The 13,402-nt window shown below is 50.8% G+C and overlaps 1 protein-coding gene across 1 annotated transcript in view, besides 1 other annotated feature; it reads right to left on the bottom strand.

Annotated features, from left to right (window-relative positions):
• Positions 6,045–6,545: an enhancer, noted in NCBI's record as "H3K4me1 hESC enhancer chr20:62875914-62876414 (GRCh37/hg19 assembly coordinates)". NCBI's record gives its function as "activates a minimal SCP1, AML or CMV promoter by ChIP-STARR-seq in primed H9 embryonic stem cells {active_cell/tissue: H9 hESC(primed)}" and the evidence as "EXISTENCE:reporter gene assay evidence [ECO:0000049][PMID:30033119]".
• The window catches only part of MYT1 (myelin transcription factor 1), a 77,802-nt gene continuing 73,252 nt past the window's right edge, over positions 8,853–13,402 (bottom strand). Inside the window, exons 22-23 of the mRNA NM_004535.3 lie at positions 11,203–11,346; positions 8,853–10,786 (exon numbers count right to left, since the gene is read on the bottom strand). Coding sequence (NP_004526.1) covers positions 10,658–10,786; positions 11,203–11,346 — 273 coding nt within the window. The 3' untranslated portion in view covers positions 8,853–10,657. The remainder of the gene's footprint in view (positions 10,787–11,202; positions 11,347–13,402) is intronic.

Genomic DNA, 13,402 nt, shown 5'->3' with positions numbered 1-13,402 from the left:
AACTCTCATAAAAGACATCAAATATTTACATAGACAGATATTCCATGTTTATGGAGAGGAAAGCTCAGCAGTGCTATCAGTTATTTCCAACTTAATCTGTAGATTCAATGCAACACCAATCAAAATCTCAGCAAGTTATTTCATGGATATCAACAAACTGATTCTAAAGTGCATATGGAAAGGCAAAATGCCCAGAATGGCCAACACAGTACTGAAGAAGAACGAAGTTGGAGAACTGACACAACCAGATTTCAAGACCTATAACGTTACAGTAATCAAGACAGTGTGGTGTTGGCAAAAGAAGAGACAAACAGATCAATGGAATAGAATAGTAAACCCAGAAATACACCTACACAAATACAGTCAACTGTTCTTTGACAAAGGAGCAAAAGCAATTAAATGGAGAAAGAATAGTCTTTTCAACAAATGATGCTGGGACAACTGAACATCCATATGCAAACAAAAAACCAAAAAACTACACATAGATCTCAAACTTTTTACATAAAAGTTCTACAAAATAATATAGGAGAAAATCCTGGTGGTCTTGGGTTTAGTGATGACTCTTTTGACAAGTCAAACACACAATCCGTGAAAGTAAAAATTGGTAAGGTAGATTTTGTTAAAATTAAAACTTCTGCTCTGTGGAAGACACAAGTCTTACCTTATGATCCAGCATTTGCACTCCTAGGTGCTTACTCAACCACTATGTCCATGCAAAAAGTTGCACATAGATTTTTATAACAGCTGTATTCACAGTTTCCAAAATTTGGAAACAACCAAGATGTCCTTCAACAGGTGAATGAATAAACAAACTCATACATGCTAAGCAATGGAGTATGAATGAATGATAACAAGAATGAGCTCTGAGACATGAAAAGACAAGGAGGAAACTTAAATGCTTATTGCGAAATGAAAGAAACCAGGATAAAAAGGCTACATATTAACACTATATGATTCCAGTGATATGACATTCGGGAAAACTGAAAACTGTAGAAACTGTGAAAAGATCAATGGTTGCCAGGGATTGGGGTTGGAGGGAGAGGGAGAGATGAACTGGCAGAGCAGAGAGGGTTTTTAGGGCACTGAAACTATTCTGTATGATACTGTAATGGTGGATACATGTTATTATGCTTTAGTCAAAACCCATATAACTAGCCAGGTGCTGTGGCTCATGCCTGTAATCCTAGCACTTTGGGAGGCTGAGGCAGGAGGAGTTCAAGACCAGCCTTGGCAACATAGCGAGACCTCGTCACTACAAAAAAAAAAAAAAATTAGCCGGGCATAGTGGCACATGCCTGTAATCCCAGCTACTCTGGAGGCTGAGGTAGGAAGGATCGCTTGAGGCTGGGAGGTGAAATCTGCAGTGAGCAGTGATTGTGCCACTGCACTCCAACAGAGCCTGAGCCTGTCTCCAAAAAAAAAACAAAAAAAAACCCACAAAACAACAACAAAACATGTAACTGCAACACAAAGAGTGAACCCTAATGTGAACTGTAGACTAGACTTTAGTTAATAGTAATGCATCAATATTGGTGTATTAGTTGTTATAACATACCACAGTGATTCCAGATGTTAATAATAAGGAGAGGGGTCTATGGGAACTCTTGGTACTATCTGCTCAAATTTTGTGTAAACCCAAACTGCTCTCAAAAATAAACTTTGTCATTTATTTTAAACAATGAAAGATTTTTCTCAGACATACAAAGCTAAAAGAATTCATTAGCAGACCAACACAATGTGAAATGTTAAAGGGAATTTTTCAGGCAGATAGCAAATGAAGCAGATGGAAGAGTAGCTCTACATTTAAAAAGGGACTCTGGAAATGAGACTCCATGGGTAAATATGTAAGGTTAATTTCTTAGCATGTCTCAGCTCTGGCTAAGGACACAACTTCTCATTTAATTTACTTCTGTGATGTTTGTTTGTATGATGGACAATGTCGCTTTTGCAATGACAATTAAAAATTTTTTTTTTATCCTCTAAGGGTTTTACAACAAGTGCCCCATTCTTTGTTTGTTTGTTTGTTTTAATGGAGTCTCACTCTGTGACCCAGGCTGGAGTGCAGTAGTGCGATCTCTGCAACCTCTGCCTCCCGGGTTCAAGCGATTCTCCTGCCCCAGCCTCCCGAGCAGCTGGGATTACAGGTGCCCGCCACCATGCCTGGCTAATTTTTTTTGTATTTTCAGTAGAGACAGGGTTTCACCATGTTGACTAGGCTGGTCTCAAACTCCTGACCTCAGGTGATCCACCGGCCTTGGCCTCCCAAAGTGCTGGGATTACAGGCGTGAGCCACTGTGCCCGGACAGCACCCTGTTCCTGAGGAGGAGCTCCGCTCCTGAGTACCAGACAGTGGCTGCCTCGCCATTTCCCTGCTCAGTACTTGGTGGTGGTCAGGGGTGGCTGAGACAGGAGTGGCTGGATGAAGGCGAATCAGAACAAGACGCTCGGATGGACGCTGTGCCAGGGGTTCTCCCCCCATGCTGAGCAGAAAGCTTTCACAAGGGAAGTGGGTGGATGTGTGGATAGGCCCCTGCAGCAGCCGCCCTACGTCCTCAGCCCCTTCCCTGCCACTCTTCCAACGTCTCCTGGGTGCTTTTTGCAGTCCAGTGAAGGGGCAAGGTCTCATGCCCGCTCTAGGTGTCCTGGGCCTCTGAGATACTTGCCCTCGGTCTTATGAAATGCAGGCCGGCTCTGTCAGGGCCTCAGGGGCAGGGGACCGGCACTGCTAAGGAATGGCCTTACGCCTGGTCTCTCTCGCCTCCGGGTGGGCGGGGGGTGCTCACATGAGGAATTTACCTTTACGCCTGGTCTCTCGCACCTCTGGGTGGCTGGGGTGGGCGGGGGGCGGGGGGGGGGCTCATATGAGGAATTTACCGCAAGGTGTCACCGCTGAACAGCTGCTGTCTTGGGAGGAGACAAACGGGGTCATCTGGAAGGGGAAGTCCTTCTTCCTCATCTTAAGCCCCGTAGCCAGAGTGGAACAAGCCAGTCTGTTTTCCGACATCCGTCAAAGCTTCTGTGCTATTCATGCCACACAGGTGACAGCAGCTTGATGCTGATCTGAAAATACCGGTGAACTCGAATGTATTCACGTACATAAAACGGTTGGGCATTCCCAACTGTCTTAAAAATTATTTCTCATCTTAAAACAAACCACTTTACGTGGGCATAGGGAAGAGGTCTGCAGCAGCCAATTTTATATCAACTTTGCTGGGCCTATGTAAGAGATACATATGTATCCCCTATTGGTTCTGTTTCTCTGGGGACCCTGGCTAATACAGGGTCCTCACAAAGAAGTGGTGTCAGACCCAGGGCCCAGAGCCCTGTCCACAGCACACCTGAGGTGGGAGTGCCTTGAGCTGACACCCACACTTCTTAGGATGTGGGACCCAGGGTTCCTGGTGACATTGTCCCCTGTGCCAGCTCTTCCACCACTCCTCACTCCTCACTGCCTCTTGTGAATTGTGAAAGGAAAACCCGGAGGGGAACATGTGAGTGGGTATCGGCCTTGAAGAAGGAGGGGCCGCCCCAGAAACGTCTTACTGCAACAGGTGGTGGACCAGACTAGTCGTGAGGACGAGGTGGTAGCAGAGGATGTTTCCACTCCCTGGGCACCAGGTGAGTGGCAGCTGGACCTGGAGGTGCAAACAGGAGGGCCTTGGGTAGCACTTCCGAACCAGGCTGGCAGCTGTTGTCAGACATCCGGTAGCCAGCAACCCACCAGGGGCAGATCTCGAAGCCAAGAGGAGCGGCTGGTATAGATGGGAGATGCAGGGATGTCCCTGAAGTGTCATAGGTGGGTGAGCTGGGACCACAGTGCACCTTTGCAGGATGGCTTTATGTGGCAGGCAGGGGTGCCAGGCACAGGGAGAGGTACCCAATTGCCAGCTGTCTGGAGAGCGAGCTCCAAGTCAGCTTCTCCCGGGCAGCCCAGTCCTGGGATCTGGGTGAGGAAATGCAATGTGGAGCCCCCTGCCCTGTCTCAGCACTCATCCAGATGTCCCCAGTGACTTGAGGCCGGCCCTGGACTTCCCCTCCCTCCCTCCACTCAGCACTGTTTGCCTCAAGGGCAGATTGCTCTCTTGACCCTGGGCATCCAGGGTTAGTATGACAAGACCCTCATCTCAGGGATCTTGTGCAGACAAATAAACCAGAAAACACATCAGCAAGATCACTCCACTGCCCCAGACCCGCAGTGTTTGCATCTCACACAGCGTCAAAGTCTGGCCGTGGCTGAACTCCCTTATCCCTCATGCCTCCCGCTGCCCCTGCCCCTTGGCCAGCCTCACTGGCTGGCACCCTTCCTCCCTCCCACCAGGGTCCCTGCCCCTGCCTCAGACACCCCCAGGGCTGGCCCGCGCCTCCCTCAGGTCAAGTGCAAACTCCCTCAGGGGGGCACCCGTGACCACCATTGTGCCCCATTTTCTCCCCATGCTTTCTGTGTAGCTCTCTTCACCAAATATGGAGGCAGATGAGGCTGGAGAATCTGCCTCCATTTCGAGGAGCCTTCGTGGTCTCCAGCCAGTCCCACCTGCTCTGGGGAATTATCAGATTGTCCCCAGAGGCAATGACATCTACCTGGCCTCCCCTGGCCTCTTCTTTAGGCATCCTGACTGGGGACCCAGATGGTTCCCAACTCTCCTGAGGCTGGAGCAACCCAGCAATGAGCTCCCATCTTTCCCTGCCCTGCCAGGCAGATTCTTCCTGGTGCCTCCTGCCCTTCCCACTGGACTAGGGACCACAGCAGCCCCTTCTCCTCTGGCCCCTTGGATACCCACTGGATCCTACTGCTCTGTGCAGATCCGCTCTTCTCCTCCTGAATATGCTGCAGACACCATCATGTGGTTCCGAAGGCGCCAGCTCTGGAGTCAGGGGCCTGCGGCAAACCCCGGCTGCACAGCCAAGCCCTGTGTGACTCTGAGTGGCCTTCTGGGCCTCCCTGGGCCTTGGTTTCTTCATCTGCATGATGGGGACAATCCTATTGCTTGTATCACAGGTGGTTGAGAGGTGGAAGGAGCCCAAATGTGTAGAAAGGGATAAGATTCAATAATGGTCAGTCTTTATTTCTCCTTATCTGCTCAGAGCTGAGCCAAGTAGGACTTCTATGTGGGGTGGGAGTTAGGGCAGCCATAATGGAACCCTTCTAGATTTGGTGCCTGATGGGTTCTGAGATTATCCACCCATCAGGGGTCCCAAGCAGTGGCCCAGGGGATATGGGGTGGAACCCGCAGCACTTCTCGTTGGTCTTTCCTAGGCAGCAGGTTGGTTCTCACATGGCTCCTCGCCATCTTTAGTCATAAATATTACCAGATTTGACTTCTGCTATTTTGACAACTTCTACAGAGAGAGCTGTGACCGAATTAAAGACAAGGAAAACACTTTTGACAGTGTATGAAATAAATAGGCAAAAGTGTGTCTAATTTGGCAAAAGGTGCCCCATGAGCAGAGATGAATGGGTCCCATGAAGAGGGTTCGCTGGGTGCTGGAGTGGTGGCTGCAGTTTGCTGCTCACCCTCCTGCCCCTGGGCTCCTGTGGGTCAGGGGACAAGGCTTCACAGGCACCCCCTGCCCCCCCAGCAAGGTTTCTCACCGTGGGAGTGGTGGGTGCTCAGGGATGGCTCTGCAGGGCTGAGACTGTACCACTTCCTCCAACCTCGTGGGGCTCCCAATGTGCCCCTCAAGACCTACACTGGCTCACGAGGCTGCCAGGGGTGTGGCCAGTTCTCAGGAGCTACAATCAGCCCAAGTAGACAGCTCAGGAAACTGTGATGCCAGTTACTGGGAGGGGCTCTCTAGGAGCTCAGGGGAGTCACTGTGTCCACATGCTGGGCAGGGCACAGACTGTGCTGTTGTGCACGTATCCCTGCGTGGCTTTCCCCAGGATCCAAAATAACCATCCATTCTTCCCCCACATCATACACCTGCCCTAGTCAGGGCTGCTCTATGGTTGGCCCCATGGGGTGGCACATAGCACAAGCTGGGTGCTCCACAGGGGCATTCACATTCATGTGGCACATCAGGCAGTTGTGGCCCCTGTTGGCAACTCCCGTATGGCCATGTGACCTTCAGCTGGGTGAGTGAAGACCAGGGGCTGATGGGGGTTGGTATCTTGCTGGGCCCAGAGAGGACCAGGTGGGCGTAGCGAGCAGGCTGTTGTGGTCACCCAGGCATGTGTCCTGATGCCTCTGGGGCATCCAAGTGCATACCCAGAAGGTACTAGAGCCAGGGAAGAAAGGATTGGGGGACAGTATGGGAGTTCTCTGCACACAGCAGACATCAGCCTTGGGAATGAGAAGAAAGGGGCTGGGACATAGGCTGGGACAGCCCTGAGGCAGCTGCAGGGTAGGGTGGAAATCAGGAAGGAGGAGAGGCCAGGAGCACATAAGCAGGTGGGAGGAAGATACAGTAGAGGGAGAGGAGGAGGCAGCCATAGCAGGTGCTGGAAGAGGAGAGGCCAGGCTTTAGAAAAGTCAGCACACACGGAGACCTGCATGCTGCAGACACTGAGAGGAAAGAAAGAGAGGCAGAGACAATGGGAGCAGCCAGGAGGGATGGTAGGGTTGGGGTGCAGTGAGGGCCAGAGTGGCTCAGAGCATAGCTCTGCCAAAGGTCAGCTGCCTGGCACCAGCCCAGGCCACCCACGATCATGGATAAGGGTGCCCTTGTGAAGACTTAAGACTCCATTAGAGAAGTCCACACTCCACCTCCATATTTTAAGAAGGACAGAGGGAATGGCACAGATGCTATAACCCCTGGGAGCATGGATGGCCTGTGTTGCAGGATTCACAATCAGCTGACAGTTAGGAAACCCTCCACATCCATGTCTTTAGCAGCCTCTGAGAGGCTACTGGCTTCAGGGAGACAGAGTGGTTAATAGGAAAAATCTCACCTGAACTTGAGGCTTCCCTTACTCATGGGGTGATGTCGACCCAGCACTAAGCTGACTTCCCGTCTGTTCAGGGAGACAGTCGTGTGCTCATCAACTGGAAGCATACCCATTCAGGTAAGGAAAGCAGGTGCACATGTGTATTTACCTTTGTTCTCTCTTACACCTGCCTAAAATGACAGATTTTAAGGCATACATTGGCAGGAGTGAGGAGATGAAAGAGGGGACAACAATGCAATTTAGAAGCCAGAAAATTCACAGATGCAAAATAAATGGCCTAGGAGACACAAAACACTGAATTCTAGCCAGAGTGTAGAAAGTTCAGAGCCAACACCGTCCATACCTCAGAACCCCCAATAACTGGTAGCACCAGATTCTGTTGGAGATGGGAGAAGACAACTGGTAGAAAGTGTTTCGGGAGCCAGTAGCCCCCTTCCCCAGAACTCCACCCCGACTCTGAGAGCCTGGCAAACACTCCCCTCCCTCTGGATGAAACCTTGAGCTTTATCCTCTGGATACAGTAAACAGGAGGGTCTGCAGGCTGGTAGAGAAGGCCTAGCTGTGGGGTCCCATACCAAAAATAAATCCTAAGAGAGCACATGCCTGTGACTTTAGACGCTCTTTCTCTCAGCTCCCAGTAGGCTGGTGGCCCAGCCAGTGCCTCTAAGCGAAAAGTGAGAGAATCTTCTTGGGGGTGACCAGCTCGTGCCATTATCAAACTATGGGATTGTGCAGCTTTCTAACATCATGGTAACAGCCTGTGTCCCCTAGCAGGAACATCATAGTCCCCACCTCTCCAGCCAACTCTCATACCCCCCAGAATGACTTTACCTCAGCTTGCTGAGGGGACACTTCAGAATCGGTCTTGCTCACACCCACCCCAGCATCTGCTGTGCTGACGTGAAGGGGTACAACTCCAGGCCACTGGTCTCCCCATCACAAATGGGGCCTCACCAAAGGGGACCCCCAGGAACCCTTCCTCACAGTTGAACATGTTCTGCATAACCCACCAGTGGGCACTGGCACCTGCTTGGGCCCCCACAACCAGCAGTTGGAGCCTTGAAGGCAGATCAAATGTCCTCCACAGGTGTTGTGGACCCTGTCTGACTACAGCAGAGGGTGGAAACTCAGTCCAGAATTTCTAAGAATTTGTCAGTGAAGATGGATCCTTTGTTTGCATATCAGATGGACGCTCCAGGACTACCACCAGGGCCAGATTCCAGGGAGGTCAAAAGCATGTTGACAGTTTAGGCTGAATGTGACTAGAAGTCCCAAGTCCAGGTCTTACTCTAGGAGCACTAGAGCTCCACCTGACACAAAAGTACGAAAATGAAAAAGGGGAGAAGTCTCTTTTTTTTTTTAAAGCTGGTATGCATTGGCTTTTTGGCCTTGTATACCAGCTTAAAAAAAAAAATAAACCATTGCCTTATATAACTGGGCAGTTCAAGGGTGGAGTGCCTTCAGACATGGCTGGGTCCATGAGCTCTAAAAAGATCATCAGAGAGCTCCCTTTTCCTTCACATCTACCTCCATTGTCAGCTTTGCCCCCCTCCAGAATGTCTGAACTCTCTCCTACTACTGATGGCTTCATCCTGTGGCCAGGAGAGATAGCCCAGGGCAACCCCAGTTCCACACCCCCAAGTCTAACAACCTCAGCAGGAAAAGTTATTCTCCCTGACCCTAAGAGAAGACTCCTGGGAAAAACTTCAATTTGCATATGACTGGTCATGTGGGAAGGGGCAAGATACAATGATTTACACCTTCTAGAAACACACGTGGAGGCGGTGAGGTAGGGTAGTTTCAAAAGGAGATACTGGCTAAGCTGACACCAGAGGGGACCCACGTGTGGTATCAAGGGGAGACCAGAGATGGAAGATTCCCCTCCTGGGCATGTGCTCCCAGGAGGGTGCATGATAGAGCTCACCAAGAATGGAGACAATGTCCTCCCCACAGACCACAGCACCGATTCACAGTCAGAGTGGACTTTTATTAGGAAATCACCCTGCAAACACACCACGGAGTGCTGTGGGTTCAACGCGCTTCCTGAGGAAGGAGGGTCACAGTATTGGAGCTGTCGGAGGGACGGGTGGCACAGCCTGTGAGCCTGGCGGTGACTCGAGGCTGCCTGCGGCCAGCACTCCCTCACAGCAACAGGACTCCACCGCAAGAGCCGACACGCAAACGCGACACGAGAAACACGCCCAAGCACACACATCTGCGCTACACTTAAATAATAATAAATACAGAATTCCATTTGCTGTTATCCGTGCCTGAAACAAAAGGAACCCAAAATGGAAAAAGAAAACCAAAATGTCTTTCTCTCCATTAGACCAAGGGAAAACAAAATCCCCAAATTATCAAAATTCCTCAGTTACAAAATACTTTTTAAAAAAATTCCATTATTAAAAGAATAAATAACAAAATATATAAAAAATAACTTGGTTGCATCAAAATTATAACTAGGAGTTATATCAAGATTTTTTGTGGCCTATATTATAGTCAAATAGTTATTTTTGCTTTGAATTCACTTTTTTCCCCTCTTAGGGTGCCCTGGTGTGGGGTCTAGTTGAAATAGTATAAAATTAATAAATAAAAATGTTAAATAAATAGCAAACGTTAACATAAGAGGCTGTGAATATAAATACTTACATCTTGACAAAATTAAATAATTTACAGAATAATTAAACTAACTACTTTTTAATTTTTTCCAGGAAGTGCAATTTCTCTATTTTTAAATACTAACTTGGAATTGCAGTCACAATTGACTTGGATTCTATTTACACGGTAGGGACATTGTGTTTTTAACACATTAAATTAAAATGTACCCTTTTTTCGCATATTGGATGGATCTAAAAGAAGTGAAACCTTTGTGGTCTCCTGTTAGGAATTTACCCTCTGACCTTGATGATGTCATTGCCACCTCCGTCACCATGGATGCAGAGGTCAAGCTCGGCCATGACCCGGAGAATGTGGCAGTGATGGGTCGGGGGCCTGGGTGGATGCACAGAAGCCAGAGTGGTCCCTAGACGTGGATCCCAGACCCAGGGTCTAAAGGCTGCAGCCCCAGTAGGGAGCTGTGACCCAAGGCCATACACATCTGCACAGCCTCAGCGCCAGCTGCCCCCAGACATTAGGCTGATTTTCAGGAGTCTCCCAGGTTAAAATTCCTTGACCTGACAGGGGCTGCGATGCTTGTCAACTGTCTGGAGTATCCTCTGGGAGGCCTATTCCTAACTTTCCCTCTAGAACAGAGCTTTGTTCCACCCTTAACACAAAACTGAATTAAATGAAAACAGAAAACGCACTTTCTTCATCGGCCCTCACTGAGCACAGACACGCTGCCCCAGGCGTGTCCTCCAGGCCAAGATGCCACTCACACCACCCACCCACCACGCTCACGGCTACCCTCCCAGCCTCGACAGACAAAGGAATACTGTGGTTGCAAACTCCAAAACTTCCCTGAGAACCTTGTCCATGAGCTTCCACTGGAGACTTTGAGCTGCTCTTCAGATTTCTTTCAGAAAACAAAAATAAATCACTTTGTAATTCTTCAGTGCCCCTATGCACACAGATAGGGCCACCACGGCCCCAAGCCTGGAGGGAGCCTCGTGGGAGCGGCCAATTTCCAGCCATCCCTTTGGATAAACCCGCCCGCGGCCACACCGGGCCCCAAACGGGAAGTCACTGTGAGTTGGGCATCCCCACGGTGCGGGGCAGGGCGAGGGAGGTAAACGGTGTGGTGGGCTGGGACACTTCTGGGTACCACACGGCCTAGACCTGGATGCCCCTCACAGCCTGCTTGATGCTCTCCAGGAGGTCCTTGTTCTCCGGGTCCTGGTTGGAGTACATGTCGGTGAGGGTGCTCACATAGGCATCGAAATTCTGTTCGCATATTGGCTCCTAGAGAACAGAACCAGGTTAGCAAGCTCCGTCCATGCAGTGGGCCCCACACCGCAGAGCCTGATGTGGGAGCATCAAACCTATGTCCCCACGTGACCTGAGACAAGCCCACACCAACCAGAGGCAGCACTGGGCGTTCCTCTCTGCAGCCATCCCAGCAGTAGCCTCTCTGCTCATGGAATCACCATTTTGCTTTGGATTCATTAGCTACTCTTTATGGCAGCTACTCATTATGGTGGCTAAACCCACCACAGCCAACAGCCCGGGCCATTCGGGGTGGAGAGAATCTCCACAAGGGCACAGGGCCCCTAGGGCAGGACCCAGAGGCAGAGGGGGTGGGAGATGCCCTGCCCTCCTGCTTTCCGAAGAGACCCTGGGGGGTAGCTGTGGTGCCGGCAGGCCCGCGTGCTGCCTACCATGTGCGGAAGGCGGATATTGGCGAGACTTTGGATGAGGGCCTGGCTCAGGCCGGACAGCTCCAGAAACAGGGCTTCATTCTGCTCCTCAATGAGCTTGTTCTCCTCCTCGATGTTCTTCAGGTTCTTCTCCATGGAGGAGATCTGTGCCAGAGAGAGATTCGAAGTGCCGCCTGCCCTTGGCCCCCATCCTCCTGGGGGTCCTCTCTGGGCTGCCTCTCACAACCCTCTGGGAGAATGCAGAACCCTGGGGTGGGGGAAGAGGCAGGGACCCTGCCTTCCTGTAGGGGGTTCTGCCACAGGTGAGGGGCTGGCAGAGGAGAGAAAGGCAAGGGCCCTCTGGAGACATGGGCTGACTCCAGGGAAGCCAGGAAGGGGGCTCGTGTGGCACGTCCCTCTGTGCCATGCTTTCTAGATGGAACTGAAACCCGCCGTGCAGGAGAAGTCCCCACTCCTGGTTTTCTGAGCCCCTCTGTCCTGAGGGGATGGGGTGGGAGCACAGACTTCACAGCGCCCTGTCTCAATCTCAGACTCCACCTGCTGTGGTCTTAGCTTCACCATGTTTCCTGCTTCTATCTGTAAGATGGAAATCACTGCACCCCCCCGTGGAGTGTCAGACTGCCTTTGGGTCTTCCCCTCACCAGAAATCCCCACAAAGAGCCTCCTCAGGGCCTCCCAAGCACGACTTCCCCAGGCCAACTACAGGCAAGTCTTCTCACTTCCCCACCATGGCGGTGAACCTGCCCAGGGTTGTGTTGGCCCTGAGGCCTTTGGTGTCCAGGAATAGCCCCCAGCCTGACTGCACATCTGCAGGGAGCCACGGGGGCAGAGGCTAAACTCACAGAAAGACAGTGTGGGTGACACACGAGGCAGGAGTGGGGAGCTCATTCCTGGGAGGCTGTGGATGGGGTCAAGCACGCTTCTTCTGCCACCTGGTGACAAGCATGTGGCTTTGAAAGGGTTGCATGGGGGATAGGGACCTGCCTTCCCTTTGCCTTTGCCCTTCCGCAGAGGGCACCAGTCACCAAACTCCCTCAGATGGACAGGGGTTTCTGAGTCCTTCCAAAGGGATGCTAGTAAAAGGTAATAATCTGTCTTTAAAAAGATTGGTTTTGGCAAATAAAAAGAAATCAGAGGTGCTACCCCAACGACACTGACACTGATGAAGGCCCTGGGGACTCTGAGAAGGGGAGGAGCAGGGAGCACAAAATGGACACCCACACAACAGTGCATCTCCACACTCAGAGACACCAGGAGGGGACGGGGATGGCTCCGCCGGGAGGGCCATCACTCCTTCTCTGTCGTCACTGCCTATGAACCTGGGGGGATGCAACATCGACATGTGCATGACAGCGAAAATCCTTCCTGATCCCTGTGGGGTGATGCTATTTTTATACAGGCTCTTGAGTAACAAGCGGTCAACGTGAGCCTGTTTGCCAGTAGAGACCAGAGCAGAGTCAACATGAGCCTGTTTGCCAGTAGAGACCAGAGCAGAGTCAACATGAGCCTGTTTGCCAGTAGAGACAAGAGCAGAGTAATGAGACACGTGGGGCTGGAGGATGTTACTCATTTTTTGCTGCCTTGGTGGAGGCCACCATCTCCCCATCTGTCCCTGCCCAGAGGGGCTCTGCCCAAATTCTCTGTGGGACCTGGTCACTTCCTTGTCCCTTTGTCCCTCTAGCTGTTAGGGGCACAGTTATGTCTCCCCCAGCACGGCTGCAGACTCCACTCAGCAGCCACAGGTGGGGCATGCTCTTATTTTCAAAATAAGATCTTTACTGCTTTTTTTTTTCTGATTACAAATGCTCATTTTAGGGAAATCAGGAAATATGACACAAACATTTAAAATAATTTGTAATCCTAACCCTCAGCAACAGCAGCTCTCATCGACGGCACTTACTCTGGATCAGGTGCTTATGCTGAATGTTTTCCTCATAGAAATGCGTTCATTGTACAATAACTGGCTGGAGTAGAATCCTATTCTTACCTCCATTTTATGGAGGAATTGACTGAGGAAGAGGCTGAAAGGTTTGTCAGGTCCCTCAGCTGTGACAAACATGTGGCTGTGCTGGGTGCTGGGAAGGAAACCCGGCTCCAGAGACCTGGCTCTACCGCACCACGCTCATGGACCACTGGTACTCACAAGACTGGTAATCCTAATGGGACCGCTGGTCTTGACAGGACTACTCATTCTAATGAG

This window comes from Homo sapiens, chromosome 20 (genome assembly GCF_000001405.40).
Source record: "Homo sapiens chromosome 20, GRCh38.p14 Primary Assembly".
NCBI classification, from domain to species: Eukaryota; Metazoa; Chordata; class Mammalia; order Primates; family Hominidae; genus Homo; species Homo sapiens.
Note: the sequence above shows the minus strand (reverse complement) of the source record. Positions and strands in the feature narration are given on the sequence as shown.